We start from the raw sequence: 17,644 nt of genomic DNA on the forward strand, positions 1-17,644 counted from the left end.
AGGCAGAAATCAAGATGTTCTTTGAAACCAATGAGAACAAAGACACAACATACCAGAATCTCTGGGACACATTCAAAGCAGTGTGTAGAGGGAAATATATAGCACTAAGTGTCCACAAGAGAAAGCAGGAAAGATTCAAAATGGACACCCTAACACCACAATTAAAAGAACTAGAAAAGCAAGAGCAAACACATTCAAAAGCTAGCAGAAGGCAAGAAATAACTAAAATCAGAGCAGAACTGAAGGAAATAGAGACACAAAAAAAAACCTTCAAAAAATTAATGAATCCAGGAGCTGGTTTTTTGAAAAGATCAACAAAATTGATAGACTGCTAGCAAGACTAATAAAGAAGAAAAGAGAGAAGAATCAAATAGATGCAATAAAAAATGATAAAGGGGATATCACCACCAATCCCACAGAAATACAAACTACCATCAGAATACTACAAACACCTCTATGCAAATAAACTAGAAAATCTAGAAGAAATGGATAAATTCCTTGACACATACACCCTCCCAAGACTAAACCAGGAAGAAGTTGAATCTCTGAATAGACCAATAACAGGATCTGAAATTGTGGCAATAATCAATAGCTTACCAACCAAAAAGAGTCCAGGACCAGATGGATTCACAGCCAAATTCTACCAGAGGTACAAGGAGGAGCTGGTACCATTCCTTCTGAAACTATTCCAATCAATAGAAAAAGAGGGAATCCTGCCTAACTCATTTTATGAGGCCAGCATCATCCTGATACCAAAGCCTGGCAGAGACACAGCCAAAAAAGAGAATTTTAGACCAATATTCCTGATGAACATTGATGCAAAAATCCTCAATAAAATACTGGCAAACCGAATCCAGCAGCACATCAAAAAGCTTATCCCACCATGATCAAGTGGGCTTCATCCCTGGGATGCAAGGCTGGTTCAACATACACAAATCAATAAATGTAATCCAGCATATAAACAGAACCAAAGACAAAAACCACATGATTATCTCAATAGATGCAGAAAAGGCCTTTGACAAAATTCAACAACCCTTCATGCTAAAAACTCTCAATAAATTAGGTATTGATGGGATGTATCTCAAAATAATAAGAGCTATCTATGACAAACCCACAGCCAATATCATACTGAATGGGCAAAAACTGGAAGCACTCACTTTGAAAACTGGCACAAGACAGAGATGCCCTCTCTCACCACTCCTATTCAACATAGTGTTGGAATTTCTGGCCAGGGCAATTAGGCAGGAGAAGGAAATAAAGGTTATTCAATTAGGAAAAGAGGAAGTCAAATTGTCCCTGTTTGCAGATGACATGATTGTGTATCTAGAAAACCCCATTGTCTCAGCCCAAAATCTCCTTAAGCTGATAAGCAACTACAGCAAAGTCTCAGGATACAAAATCAGTGTACAAAAATCAGCAGCATTCTTATACATGAATAACAGACAAACAGAGAGCCAAATCATGAGTGAACTCCCATTCACAATTGCTTCAAAGAGAATAAAATATCTAGGAATCCAACTTACAAGGGACGTGAAGGACCTCTTCAAGGAGAACTACAAACCACTGCTCAATGAAATAAAAGAGGATACAAACAAATGGAAGAACATTACATGCTCATGGGTTGGAAGAATCAATATCATGAAAATGGCCATACTGCCCAAGGTAATTTATAGATTCAATGCCATCCCCATCAAGCTACCAATGACTTTCTTCACAGAATTGGAAAAAACTACTTTAAAGTTCATATGGAACCAAAAAAGAGCCCGCATTGCCAAGTCAATCCTAAGCCAAAAGAACAAAGCTGGAGGCATCATGCTACCTGACCTCAAACTATACTACAAGGCTACAGTAACCAAAACAGCATGGTACTGGTACCAAAACAGAGATATAGATCAATGGAACAGAACAGAGCCCTCAGAAATAATGCCGCATATCTACAACTATCTGATCTTTGACAAACCTGACAAAAACAAGCAATGGGGAAAGGATTCCCTATTTAATAAATGGTGCTGGGAAAACTGGCTAGCCATATGTAGAAAGCTGAAACTGGATCCCTTCCTTACACCTTATACAAAAATTAATTCAAGATGGATTAAAGACTTAAACGTTAGACCTAAAACCATAAAAACCCTAGAAGAAAACCTAGGCAATACCATTCAGGACATAGGCATGGGCAAGGACTTCATGTCTCAAACACCAAAAGCAATGGCAACAAAAGCCAAAACTGACAAATGGGATCTAATTAAACTAAAGAGCTTCTGCACAGCAAAAGAAACTACCATCAGAGTGAACAGGCAACCAACAAAATGGTAGAAAATTTTCGCAACCTACTCCTCTGACAAAGGGCTAATATCCAGAATCTACAATGAACTCAAATTTACAAGAAAAAAACAACCCCATCAAAAAGTGGGTGAAGGATATGAACAGACACTTCTCAAAAGAAGACATTTATGCAGCCAAAAAACACATGAAAAAATGCTCATCATCACTGGCCATCAGAGAAATGCAAATCAAAACCACAATACCATCTCACACCATTTAGAATGGCAATCATTAAAAAGTCAGGAAACAACAGGTGCTGGAGAGGATGTGGAGAAATAGGAACACTTCTACACTGTTGGTGGGACTGTAAACTAGTTCAACCATTGTGGAAGTCAGTGTGGTGCTTCCTCAGGGATCTAGAACTAGAAATACCATTTGACCCAGCCATCCCATTACTGGGTATATACCCAAAGGACTATATATCATGCTGCTATAAAGACACATGCACACGTATGTTTATTGTGGCACTATTCACAATAGCAAAGACTTGGAACCAACCCAAATGTCCAACAATGATAGACTGGATTAAGAAAATGTGGCACATATATACCATGGAATAGTATGCAGCCATAAAAAATGATGAGTTCATGTCCTTTATAGGGACATGGATGAAACTGGAAATCATCATTCTCAGCAAACTATCTCAAGGACAGAAAACCAAACACCGCATGTTCTCACTCATAGGTGGGAATTGAACAGTGAGAACACAGGGACACAGGAAGGGGAACATCACACTCCAGGGACTGTTGTGGGGTGGGGGGAGGCGGGAGGGATAGCATTAGGAGATATACCTAATGCTAAATGACGAGTTAATGGGTGCAGTACACCAACATGGCACATGTATACATATGTAACAAACCTGCACATTGTGCATATGTACCCTAAAACTTAAAGTATAATTTAAAAAAACAACAACACATTTTTCACATGGCTTCTGGGGTTCCGTGCTCTCTTAATTTTTCTCCTTCCTCAATGGCTATTCCTTCTTAGTCTCCATTGCTGTTTCCTTCTCATCTACCTGAAGTGACCCAGGGTTCAATCCTCAAACTTCCCTTTTTCATCCTTCCCCTTCTGTTTTGTATATAAAGGTACGCCCTGGGTGACCTCATCAAATCTTGTAGCTTTAAATGTTATTTCGTGATGACTTTCAAACTTATATTTGTAATCCAGATACCTCCCCAGAGTCACATACTTACACATTTGTGTCTATTGAACATCTTCATTTGATATCTAATAGTTCAAAACCAGACTTTTCACAATCCCTCCCAGGTCTGCCCCATCACAGTGAGGAGTTCTCAGTAAGTAGCACTTCCATTGTTCCAACCTTTCAGGCAAAACCTGCATAGTCTTCCTTGTCTTCTCTTTTCATGTTACATGTCCATTCCACCAACAAATCCTCTGTAGTATACCTTCAAAATATATCCACTATCTAATGATACCTCACTTCCTCCACCCTTACCTCCACCATCATCTGGTCTGAGTCAGGTGGATTATTGTTGTAGCCGCCTAATTTCTATCCATCTAGCTTCTGTACTTTCCCATTAACTATCTTTGTATTTACTAATTTTGGCTCCCCAACTCAGAGTAAAAGTCGATTTTTTAAAGATGGCTGAGACTGAGGTCAGATGGATTTTTTCCTGTCTCTGAACTTTAGGCCTTGAATAGGTTCCAATTTTGTAAAATGGTTTATTTCTAATCCCTGCCCTTTTGTGGGTGAAGGCCTTGTCTCTTGAATTTTTTCAGAACACTAAGATACAACCTTAGGCTATTGAAGCCAGCAAATGTCCCAAGGGTAGCTCTAACTTCAGAGCATGTTCACCTCTCCAGTTTCTGGCTCTCAGCTCTCACTTCATTGCTTGACTTCTTTATTTTCTTTTACTCTTGTCTTTTTTTTTTTTTTTTTTTTTTTGAGCGGAGTCTCGCTCTGTCACCCAGGCTGGAGTGCAGTGGTGCAATCTTGGCTCACTGCAACCTCCACCTCCTGGTTCAAGTGATTCTCCTGCCTCAGCCTCCCGAGTAGCTGGGACTACAGGCGTGTGCCACCATGCCCAGCTAATTTGTGTGTGTGTATTTTTAGTAGAGAGGGGGTTTCACGAGTGTTAGCCAAGATGGTCTCAATCTCCTGACCTCGTAATCCGCCCGCCTCAGCCTCCCAAAGTGCTGGTATTACAGGCATGAGCCACTGCGCCCAGCCTTAATCTTGTCTATATTTTTAAAAGGATGTTTGTCATATTTTACCCACCATTTATTGGTGTTTGTTAAGAAATCTGATATACCATTCAGATACCAACTGTATCCACCTACTGTCACAGTCATAATATACAACAGTTCTATTAACCATCCCTAAATTCCCTCATGCTTTCTTCTTTCATTGTCAACCTCTCCCCTTTAACCATTCCCAGCCTATGAAAAACTACTCACCAAATTCCATCCATATAGTTTTGCTTTGTCAAGAATGTCATATAAATAGAATCAAAATATGGCTTTTCTCACTTAGCAAAATATATTTAAGATTTATCCATATTGTTGCATGGATCAATTTGTTTCTGTTATTGTTGAGTAATGTTGCATGAATCAATACTTTGTTTCTGTTATTGCTGAGTAATGTTCCAGTACCTGGAATGGCCAAAGTTTGCTGATTCATTCGCCTTTTGAGGGACATCTGGTAGTTCCAGTTTGGAGCACTTCTGAATAAAGCTGTTATAATCTTTGACATATAGATGTTTGTGTGAGCATAAGTGTAAATACTAATGTGACTGCTGTATCATATGCTAAATGTATGTTTAACATTATAAGAAACTACCACACTCTTTTTTACCATAGTTACAGTGTTTTGCACTCTCAGCAACAGTATTTGAGAATTTTTGTGTTCTGTTTCTTGATCTGTATTTCTAACTGAAATATTCTTTATCACTATAGACTCCTTCCCTTATATTGGATAATTGTTTTTTTTTTCTTTTTCTTTTTTTATGAGCCAGAGTCTCGCTCTGTTGCCCAGGCTGGCTTGCTAGTGGTGAGATCTTGGCTCACTGTAACCTCTGCCTCCCTGGTTCAAGTGATTCTCCTGCCTCAGCCTCCCAAGTAATTGGGATTACAGGCACCTGCCACCACACCCAGCTGATTTTGTATTTTGTTTTTTTTGAGATGAAGTCTTGCACTGTCACCCAGGCTGGTGTGCAGTGGCATGATCTCGGCTCACTGCAACCTCCGCCTCCCAGGTTCAAGCGATTCTCCTGCCTTAGCCTCCCGAGTAGCTGGGATTACAGGCACCCGCCACCATGCCTGGCTAATTTTTTGTATTTTTAGTAGAGACGGGTTTTCACCATGTTGGCCAGGTTGGTCTCGAACTCCTGACCTCAAATGATCCACCTGCCTTGGCCTCCCAAAGTGCTGGGATTACAGGCATGAGCCACTGCGCCTGGCATGAATAATTGCCTTTTTTCTCTCCAACATTCCATGAGATTATAGAACCCTTTCATTACGTTATAGACCTGTAGTAGTGCCTGGGAACTCTAGGATGTGTTCTTCCCAGAACACACAGAATTGTCCTTGAATAGACAAGTAAATAAGAGAAGACATGAGGCAAGGCATGAAGAAACAAAGGAAACTGTGAAGTAAGGATAAGTAAAAGCAACTTAGTATCCTATTTGAAAGGGATAGAGAGAGCTAAAGAGCAATTGGAGAGGCATATAGGATCATAGATTTAGTATGGAGGTGCTTTTGTTTCTATGTGTAAGGAAGTTATAGGGAAACCACAGATCACTGGTTTCTAGGCATGTACCACTAGGGTGGTATGAAGGGTTGATTACAGAGAAACAGGACAAGGGTATTTAGGAGTGACAGAAGTATGACGGTGGGTGGATACATGATTTGTGTCCTTATAAGTCAAAGTTTCTTTTGTTTTTTCTCCTGTTTTTCATTCACCTGGTTTTTATTGAGTGCTTTCATTACCTAGTTTTTATTGAGTGCTAGACATCACAAAGAAAAGTTATAAGGTTTCAGTCCTTGGATAACATTATACAAAATCCAATAAAGATTTAAGTTTGCTATGGCAAGCAGTCTTGAATCACCATAATCCAAATTTTTGAAATTTGAGCTGATTCAAAGATGATTCAGACTTCAGACTCTGTCCAGATTGGTCTACTGTTTCTCCTTTATTCCTCAGTATAGCTCTCAGGGTTCCCAACCCAAAGTATAAAGAATTCATGGCAGGCCCTATCCTCCAGTTATTGTTGCCCAGCCCTGTGACACAGTCCAAAACACTGTTTAGTTTCTCCCCCTCTTAGCTTTTTCTAGAATCATAAGACTTCTCTAAGTGGAAATGTGGACCCAGATGTTGGGCTTATCTCTTTGATTTTCATATTTTTCAATTTTTAGCCACCCACTCTTTATTATGTAAACGCTCCAGTGGCTTCACTCAGGTGCCTTTTATAATTTGCTTAATTTGTATAATTGCTATCATCTAGAAGGTTGGTCTAAATTACCTAAATTACCAGAAATTAATGTTTAAGATTTAGGGGCTGATAATTAAATTAAGACCTGAAGAATGAGGAAGAGTGTTTGTATAGTCTCATCCAGAGCAGTCCAAAGAAATGGAATAGGCTCTGGCTAGCTTTTAATTGAAAAAGGTCTGTGACTTTTTCAGAGTTGAAAGGAAGCTAGTTTTTCTGGCAAATAAGGAGCGAAGCTGAGAAGGCTCAACAGATACATAAGCAAGGAGAAGACCATGGAAGGGGAAATAAGTCAAAGTCATTGAAGAGTTTGGATTTTATATTAATATGGAAGCTACTAAAAAGTATTAAGCAGATAAAGAAAATCATTATCTGAATCTGAATCAGTTGATAGGAAGGATTAAAATTACAGATCTCCAGGATCTTTTTCTGATTCACTAGCAGTTAGTCTGGTGTAATGTTGGACAGCTATAATTTTAACATGCTCCCCAGGTGATTTTGATCCCCACCAAGGCTTGAGAACTACTCACTTTAAAATTGTTCTTAATCTCTTCCCTTATCTTCTCAAGTGAGTTTTCATTATTCTCTAATCTCTCAGATGCCCCTTTCATATATTAATATATGAGATCCTTCTTAGCTAATTTTTTTTAAAATTCTAGATAGGAACATTACTGTACCATGAAATCAGTGTAGTGGGGTTTGTCTGCATGTGTATGAGACAGAGAAATTGAAAAAAGTAGAAATATTGCAGAATAGAATAGAAAGCAGGGAAGATACTGTTTTATGAAACTGTATATATATAGTAGGTTGTGATGTGAAAGGTAGGTATTATATGTCATAATAATCAATATTTGAAACAAACTCATGTATGTCTGTTATTTCTTATGGGCATTATTTTCCTATTATTTGTCTTTTCTATAGAAGTTATATTTCTCAATTTTTTTATTCTCTCTTATCTTTCAGACTTGCCTTCAAGGTGTGCAAGTAAGGACTTATCTCCAGAAAAGAACACTTATGAAACAGAATTATCCCAATGGGAAATGAGTGACAGACTTGAAAACTGTGATCTTGAAGAGTCCAATTCCAGGGATTATTTGGAAGCCAAAGGCAAGATGGAGAAGCAACAAGAAAATCAGAAGGAATATTTCAGGCAAGGGATGATCATATATGACAAAATGTCCATTTTCAACCAGCATACTTACTTATCTCAACATTCAAGATGTCATTCTACTGAGAAACCCTATAAATGTAAGGAATGTGGGAAAGCCTTCAGACGAGCCTCACACCTAACACAACATCAAAGTATTCATACTGGTGAAAAACCCTATGAATGTAAGCAATGCGGGAAGGCCTTTAGTCGTGATTCACAACTCAGTCTTCATCAGAGACTTCATACTGGTGAGAAACCCTATGCATGTAAGGAATGTGGGAAGGCCTTTACTCAAAGCTCACAACTTATTTTACATCATAGAATTCATACTGGTGAAAAACCATATAAATGTGAAGAATGTGGGAAAGCCTTTATTCGTAGCTCACAACTTACCCGACATCAAAAAGTTCATACTGGTGAGAAACCTTATGAATGTAAAGAATGTGGGAAGGCCTTTACTCAGAATTCACAACTTACACTACACCAGAGACTTCATACTGGTGAAAAGCTCTATGAATGTAAAGAATGTAGGAAGGTCTTTACTCAGCTCTCACAACTTATTCTGCATAAGAGAATTCATACCGGTGAGAAACCCTATGAATGTAAGGAATGTGGAAAAGCTTTTATTTGTGGCTCACAGCTTTCTCAACATCAGAAAATTCATAATGGGGAAAAACCATATGAATGTAAGGAATGTGGAAGGGCCTTTATTCGGGGCTCACTACTGATGCAACATCAGAGGATTCATACTGGTGAAAAACCCTATAAATGTGAAGAATGTGGGAAGGCCTTTATCCGTGGCTCACAACTTACTCAACACCAGAGAATTCACACCAATGAAAAGCCCTATGAATGTAAGGAATGTGGAAAGATGTTTAGTCATGGCTCACAACTTACTCAACATCAGAGAATACACACTGGTGAGAAACCCTATCAATGTAAGGAATGTGGAAAAGCGTTTAATCGTGGCTCACTCCTTACACGACACCAGAGGATTCATACTGGTGAGAAACCCTATGAATGTAAAGAATGTGGAAAAACCTTTAGTCGTGGCTCAGAACTTACTCAACATGAGCGAATTCACACAGGTGAGAAACCCTATGAATGTAAGGAATGTGGGAAATCTTTTATTCGTGGTTCCCAGCTTACTCAACATCAGAGAATCCATACTGGTGAGAAACCTTATGAATGTAAAGAATGTAGAATGGCCTTTACTCAGAGTTCACATCTTTCCCAACATCAAAGACTTCACACTGGTGAGAAACCCTATGTGTGTAATGAATGTGGAAAGGCCTTTGCGCGTGGCTTACTACTTATACAACATCAGAGAATTCATACTGGTGAGAAACCATATCAATGTAAGGAATGTGGGAAAGCCTTTATTCGTGGTTCACAGTTGACTCAACATCAGCGAATTCACACTGGAGAAAAACCCTATGAATGCAAGGAGTGTGGCAAGGCCTTTAGTCATGGCTCTCAGCTTACTCTACATCAGAGAATCCATACTGGTGAGAAGCCCTATGAATGCAGAGAATGTAGAAAGGCCTTTACTCAGAGTTCACATCTTTCTCGGCATCAGAGAATTCATACTGGTGAGAAACCATATCAATGTAAGGAATGTGGGAAGGCCTTTACTCGTGGTTCACAGCTAACTCAACATCAGAGAATTCATATCAGTGAGAAATCTTTTGAATATAAGGAATGTGGGATTGACTTTAGTCATGGCTCACAAGTTTACATGTGAATTGTCTGATTATTTGAGATCACTATGAAGAGGTTCTCTGGTTGTTAGCAGCAAAGAATTCTCACAAATGTGAATATGGGCGCACATTTGCCTCATAAAGCACAGCATCAGATAATTTATGTGAGAGAAAATGGTAGTGTCATTCATATAGAAAAACATCATTACTGGAAACCTATTAAACATTAGCAAATTGGAGAATAGTTTTAATATAGTAAATGTAGGAAGCCCTTTAGCCATATTGAAAACAAATATCTTTTTCAACGTTATCTTAGCTCTACTAGTTGATCTTTTTGTTATATGTATCATGATACTTAACCTCTACCTTGGTTTAATCATTTTAAGATAGACCTAAGTATATTACCTTTATTGTAAGATTCTTGGAAGTATTATGTAAGTTATTACATGTAAAAGCTCTTAGAATGGTGCCTTGAACGTAGCATACCACAAATATTAGCTACCATTTTCACTAGTGTTATTTTAGAGAATTTGCATGAGAGGAGAGTACTTATGAGTATAATGAATATTGAGAAATCTTTTATCAACACATCCAAGATGACTTGGTTGGGGGGCACTGTATGCCATAATGAATGTGAGAAAGCTGTCATTTAAATCTCATCCATTATTGCTATAAGAGGAAATTCATACTGTTAAAAAAAAAAAAACCCAGTGGATATAATCAGTGTATTATTAAAAAAAAAAAAACCCAGTGGATGTAATCAGTGTATTATTGAGCACAGCTGTTAGAGAAGTGGGACAAGGTGTGAAGTGATTTTTAACGAAGTCTAAGATCCAAAGTCTAATAAATCTAGGAATTTTTTAAAAACTTGAATGTATTGCTTTTGAAGTAAACAAAATAACTGATATTACAGACTATTTTGCAATGAAAAATGATGAGAGTTTGTGATACAGACTGCTTTTTTCCTACCCTATATCTATTTTCTCTTTTTTAGTAACAAATTTCTGGGCTGAAAATCTCAGCCTTCCTTGCAGGTCAACAAGATAGAAGTGATATTTATATGAGTAGGAGATTTACGAAATCCATTTTTCCTGTCTTTTTTTCCGTGCCTACAATGTGGACATCTAAGCTGGAGCTCCGTTACTCTCATGGGGACTTTGAGAATGGTATCTGGGTGTTATGGATCATGGAGCAGAAATACAGAAGGAGTCTGCAACCCTGATGACTTTGTGGAACAGCCATACTAGCTCTGGTCTGCTTGCCTCCTGTTTCTCTTTAAATAAAATTAAACATCTTATTTGTTGATGCTATTGTAGTTCTGTTATTGACAATAAAAATTCTTAAGGATATAAAATTTTGTACCTGGAAGTGGGATGCTATGGGTAAAAGAAATCTCAAATGGGGTATTGACTTAGGGCCATTGAGAATGAGGAACTGCCCAAATTAAGCTAGGAATTTGAAGATTCTTGTTTTAATAGGCAGGATGTTTTGTCACTGCCTCCCACTCTTACAAGCATGCTTTATATCAGTTGATGCTATAATGTTAGAGGAAATGCTAGAAGTGATTCAGAATATGTGTGTTGCATGTTTCTTGCTGCTTTCAGTAATGTCTTGTGAACGAGATAAATTTAGAGTAGAGCTAGGCAGCCCACTAGCAGCAATTGAAAGCAATATTGCTTTGGTAAGATGTTATCTATGATGGCAAGCCCTCAATCCTCCACCCTTAATCCACTTACAGTGATTTAATGTGACAACCTGAACAAGAAATCAGACCACTGCCAATGCATACAAAGGCAGTCTGCTAGTAAATATGGTTATGTTTTCCTCACAGGAGCCTATTGTTCTAAAAGTAGTCAGTTATTAGGTACTTAATATATTCCAGCCACTATCTTAGGTGTTTTGGATATTTGTCAGTGAACAATTCTAACAGGAGGAGATAATCATACACACAGAGTATGTTAGAATATAAGTGTTATGGGGAAAAAGTCATTGAAAAGACAATGGGAGGGATATGATCATTTAGATTGCTTTGTGAAATACAGTGATCAAGGTAGACCATCAAGAAGGATAGACTTGAGCCAAGACTTGAAGGAGTGTGGTGATTCCAGGCAGAGGAGAGAGGTCCTACAATGGGACTACACTGAAGTGTTTTAGGAAAAGTGGAGAAGTTATTGAAGAACACTGTGCAAAGGGATGGTTGCTAGAGCAGAACTGAGAGATAACAGAGAGCTATGTCTTGCCAAGCGTGCAAGCCATTGGAAAGATACTTTATTTTGAGGGAAACACAACTGTTGAAAAAAATCGATGAGGAGGTTGTAGTAACTCAGATGAAAGAGGATGTCATGGCTTCGGAAGAAGAGGTAACAATGGGTATAGTGGTTATTGGTTGTATTCTAGGTATATAGTAAATGTGACAGCAAGCAAGATTTGTTTAAGGGCTAGATGTAAAAGAGACAAGTCTAGGGTGACTTTAAGTCAAAGATTTTAGTCTTGAGCATCTGGGAATACAATGTTTTCATCAACCAGGATGGAGAAAACTTCAGTTCCAGGGTTTTAGGGGAAGATTGAGAGTTCAACTTTGAACATGTTGAATCTGTAGATGTCTTTTAAGACACAAAATGGCAGTAGTGAGTAGGCACTTCATGTATGAGATATACCTAACTTGGTATTATATTACTTTAGTAGGTATTGCCCATATTTATTTAAATGATTAGGGTTTTAGTATAGAAAAGGTAAAGAACAGCAAGGACTGAACCACGGAGCACTCCAACATTAAGAGTTCAATGATAAAAGAACAACATGAAAGAAGCTAAAGGCCAGGTGCAGTGGCTCACACCTGTAATCCCAGCACTTTGGGAGGCTGAGGCGGGCGTATCACGAGGTCAGGAGATTGAGACCATCCTGGCCAACACGGTGAAACCCCGTCTCTACTAAAAAAAAATACAAAAAATTAGCCAGGCGTGGTGGCGGGCGCCTGTAGTCCCAGCTACTCGGGAGGCTGAGGCAGGAGAATGGCGTGAACCCAGGAGGTGGAGCTTGCAGTGAGCCGAGATCGCGCCACTGCACTCCAGCCTGGGTGACAGAGTGACAGTGTCTCAAAAAAGAAAAAGAAAAAAAGCTAAGGAGGAGAACCAATAATAGAGGAAAACCAAGAAACTGGAATCACAAAAGCCAAATAAAAGTGAATTGAAGGAGAATCAACAGGTATCAGATAGCTTTGGCAGACTGATTATACAACACGAGGTTTGAAACGGCCATTGAATTTATCAGTATCCGTGTCAGTAACTTTGAGAAGAGCACAGGGTTTTTTTTCTTTGTTTATTTCTGGTGTATTGACTTTGGAGTGATAGAAGCAAAAGCTTGAAAAGATAGTTGAGGATGAGTACAGAGAACACTGCATGAGGGACACAGCAAGCCACAGGCACATCTGTTAGCCCAGCCTCCAGGTAACAGTGGAAACCCTGCAGGAGAGTCACATGCACACCCTCAGATCAGTCTGAGGGAAGGATCCCATGTTGTATCCTTTGCTCCTGAAGTTTTCTCAGCCTGGTCAGCTTCCTCAACACCTAGAATCCCTGGAACTTCTGCTTGACCTCCTGAAGGAAATAGGCCAGAGCCTAAACTCAATGCACAGCTGCAGAGTTCCTGGATCCAATGCTGCAAGGACCCATCCAGGGCAACCACAGAGGTCATTGAGATGCAAATTCACTGCTAGTGCCATGTACGTGTGCAATTGGAGGATCAGTTTGAACTTCCAGACACCAGGCTCACACAGATGCAAAGAGAAGGGTGGAGCTGGTGCCAGAAAAAGAGCTGGCTGCTATCTTCCCTTACTCAGGTCTGAATAACCACAACTGGGTCTCCTTGGACACTCTATTAAAGGACAAAATTAGGGCTTAAGGTATGCCCTCTGGACTCCCCTTTAAATCAGAGGCAAACAGCAAATAATGCAAACTCTAAAATACCCAAACAGGAACTATAATGGAAAAAAAATCACAAGCTGAGGGTCAAACAGAAATACAGGAATAGGTTAAATAGAAGAACTGCAGACCTGAAAAGGCTTGACGCCAGTGCAGTCACAAAGGGAAAAAAGTACATATCACTCAAGAAGGAAAAGAAAAATGTCGATGAAATTAAACACAATGTTTATTAGAACGACAAGACTGGCTATAACTGGATAATCATCTTGTGAATAGTGAAGCCATCTGAATAGGCACAGACAGAGTTAGCTTGTTGGTAAAAGTAATGGAAACCCACAACTCCATAATAATCACACCTGCCCAATCATTAACAAATAAATGTGGAGAAAGCAGCACTATAGAAATGGATCCCCAAGAATGTTGGCCCTGATGAACTGGAAAATTATTTTTGTTGATAAGATTGAGCCTGACAAAAATCTAGACCCATCAGAAATAGGGAAGACAAAAAAAGACGGCGGTCATGGAACAGGCTAGAGCTCACCCATGATAAATCACAGCCAACTACCATATGGAACTGGGAACAAATGCAAAATGAAGACTATTTCACTAGACACCACACATAGACACACAAAAAGACAAAATTACATTCACACACACAGACATACAACAGTGACACAGAAACACACACTCAGGCAGCTCCTGAGGCTGCAGGGTTCTGCTGTCTGTGATGAAGTCCCTTTAGGAAAAGAGCAGCCTTGAGACACAGGCCAGTCCTCAAGGTGACAAGAGGGACAACTTTTGGGGAGACTCACCCGCACACTGTCTAGGCGGGCCTGAGGCTGGGATCCCGTGGTGAATTTCTGGGGCTCCCCTTGATGTTTCTTCAGCCCTCCATGATGCCTAGGATCCCAAGACCATCCTGTTGAACCCCTGGAGAAGACAAACCAGAGCCCAAGGCCAATGAACTGCCACAGAGGGCTCCTGCTCCGGTGGTGGAGGAAAAGAGGTTGCACGGGACAGAAGGCCCGTCCTAGCCATCCTGTCCTCAACCCCCACTTCACTGGACTTCTTCCTGAGTTCCTGGTGGAGGAAGAGCTTCAGGGCAGGAGATTGGTACTCCTTACTCCTCTTTGGATCTGATTCTGGATTGGATGCTGTGGGCAGAAATTGGGTCAGATGGGGGTGAAAATAAAATCAGTGAGGTGTGGAAGGGGCTGCTGGGGCACATAGACACCTGAGTTCCCCAGGGAAGGTATCAGCGAAAAATTCACTGACCCATGAGCCCACTTCCTCCCTTCAACCTGGCCCTAGCAGGGCCCTGCCCTGGCCTCAAAGCCCAGGGGCTCCCGCTTGTCACCACTGTCCAGGAAATGTGGAAATGAGGTCAAATGCAAGGTGGGGCTAAGGCAACCACACCTGGAACTATCATTCCACAGGGGCAGATGGGTTGGGAGTGTGTCTCTGAGGCAGCTGGGGTAATTCCAGGACAGACAGTAGTGTCCAGGCATGCTATCAAGGGGCACTGAGGACCCCCAAGAAAGCAAAGAAGAATCAAAGGACTCCTGAGACTAAAAAAGGGCCTGTGCTGGAGTCCAAGCCACCTTTGGGGATTCCTGCCAGAAGACCCACGAGGTTTCTGCAAAGTGTACCCATGCTCAACTCCAACACGGGGGACCCCTAACACAGCCTCACCTGTATCCAGCCAATCCCCAGTCCCTTTTATTCAATTAAAAAAATAAGTGGCAGCCAAAGGATTCAGTGCTGGAAAGCAGTCTCATCCAGGAACAGGGGAGTTAGATATCCCTCAAGAGTGAGAAAATGGAAACAAAATGCAAGACAACCTCAATTAGAAGGCAAAGGCCAGCCATGGGTGTCTACCTCTCATCCTGTGTGAATCACGCAGCCATCTGATTGGATATTGTGAGCAATTGTCTTTTTGTTTTTTGTTTTTGTTTGTTCGTTTGGTTTTTGGTGAAAGCTATGAAAACCTAGAGCTCCATGATCATCACACCTGCCCAATAATTAAAGATGTGTGGAGAAGGAAACACTCATGAAATGGACCCCCCAGAATATTGTCCTTGGTGAACTGGGAAATATTTTTTGTTGATAAGATTGAGCCAGACCAAAAAAATCTAGGCCCATCAAAAATATGGAAGACAATAAAAGATAGAGGGCATAGTAAGAGAACAGAGGCAATGTTGGGGAAATTACTACCACTGCCATGTGGATGCAGGAATGAGTGCAAAACTCGTGACCTAGCCAGAAAGGCTGCAGTTTGATTTAAAGAGATTGTTCACACGTTATTGTGTTCTTCTCAATATTGAATCATGGTGAGTTTTCATGCGACTATTAAGGGAAAGGAAGAATGGAGTTACAAGCATCTTCTTTGACATCTGACTACACCACTCCTGCTCATGGAAAACGTGTTCCTGTGAGGTTTCTGTTGTTGGATGTGGTATCGTCACCTTATTTTAGAAAAGTTGGCCTCTCCAGAGACAAGGCTATTTTTATTCCTCCTGGTGCCAAGCAGGCCCCCACCTCGCCCAGGCCTTAACAAAACACAAGCTGGAACCACACAGAAAACAGATTACACACAGCCCAAGCAGAAACACAAGGAGAGGTAAACCAAAAGGAAGCCTGACGAAAGAAACCCCCTCCAGTGCACAAGGCACATTTGTCCCACTAGATACCACAAAGAGAAGACACACACACAAACACATCCCACACAAATACACACACAGATATACAACACTTACAAAGTGCTGACCAGCTACAGCCAGTTTGGACCAATAAGTATCGGTTTATGCCAGTTCTAATTTTTCATCGCTGGTTCTGACTGGTTTAGAATGGCTTCAACTGGCCAGAACCTATTTAGTGAGACTATAGTGAATTTGACCAGCTTGGACCTGTTTTGACTGGCCAAAATCAGTTTATGCCAGTTCTGGTCTTTGTTGGTTTTGACCAGATTAGACTCATTTCAACTGGCCACAACTGTTTTATGCCCAGTAAAAATGGCCTCAACAGGTTTTGACCACTTTCTTATATCATCTATATCCTTATGTAACCCTTGTTATTTTTTATGAGAGACTTCTTACCAAATGAGGGACACAAGAAATATTAGAACTTGAGCACACAAACAAGAACCACTCATAACCTACAGGAGAATTATCATTATTGTAGATGAAAGAGGACCTTCCACATTTTCCCTTAGACCTTAGAATCTTTTTCAGTCTTTCAGTGTACAATTTTGAGCACGTGTTTTTACTGGTTTTCACAATCTGGAATTGTTTTATGCCAATTGTGATCAGTCTAAGTTGGTTCTGACCAGCTTAGACCAGTTCCAACTGGTCAAAACTGGTTTGTACTGGGTATTACTGGCCTTGACCAGCCTGAACCAGTTTTGATTGGGCAAAATCAGTTCATGCCTATTCCAAATGGTCTTGCCATTTCTGACCAGTTTAGATCAGTTCCTCTGGCCAAAAATGACTGATACTGGCTCTGACTGGCTACAACTGGCTTGAACAAATAAGCACCAATTTATGCCACTTCTAATTTGTCATAGCTGGTTCCAACCAACTTAGAATGGTTTCAGCTGGCTACAACCACTTTAGAGGGGCTTATAATTAGCCTTGACCAGCTTGCACCTGTTTTGACCAGCCAAAATCTGCATATGCCAGTTCTGACTACTCTTGGCCAGTTCCGAAAGGTTTACACTGATTTCAACTGGCCACGATCAGTATAGATGGAGTATAACAAGCATCAACAGGTTTTGATCACTTCAATGTAGAATCTATAGCATCACATAGGCCTTGTTAGTTTCTTTTTGACATATTTCTTACAAAATCAGAGACAACTAGACACACAAGCAAGAAACACTCAAAACCCTTTGAAGAAAGTTTCACTATTGTAGATTAAAGGAGACCTTCAATGTTCCCTTAGACTTAGAATACTTTCCCTCTTTCATTGTGAAACCAGCCCAATTTTCCAACAAGCTGGATGTCCATAAAACTGAAGCTTGAGAAACTTACATTTGTACAATGAAATACATTTGCTGCTTGTTGACCAACTCCTTTCCCCCTGTTTTTATTCGGGGCTATATAA

At 40.2% G+C, this 17,644-nt stretch overlaps 1 protein-coding gene across 22 annotated transcripts in view; it reads left to right on the forward strand.

The window, feature by feature from the left end:
- The window catches only part of ZNF420 (zinc finger protein 420), a 122,467-nt gene extending 111,490 nt beyond the window's left edge, over window positions 1–10,977 (forward strand). For 9 of the 22 annotated variants that reach the window (XM_047438230.1, XM_011526503.3, XM_011526510.3 and 6 more), the window contains one exon: window positions 7,737–10,977. In XM_047438230.1, coding sequence (XP_047294186.1) covers window positions 7,737–9,667 — 1,931 coding nt within the window. In that variant the 3' untranslated portion in view covers window positions 9,668–10,977. The remainder of the gene's footprint in view (window positions 1–7,736) is intronic. The other 13 variants (XM_006723038.4, XM_047438231.1, NM_001329521.3 and 10 more) reach the window with 5 other exon arrangements.

Source organism: Homo sapiens, chromosome 19, assembly GCF_000001405.40.
Source record: "Homo sapiens chromosome 19, GRCh38.p14 Primary Assembly".
Taxonomy (NCBI): domain Eukaryota; kingdom Metazoa; phylum Chordata; class Mammalia; order Primates; family Hominidae; genus Homo; species Homo sapiens.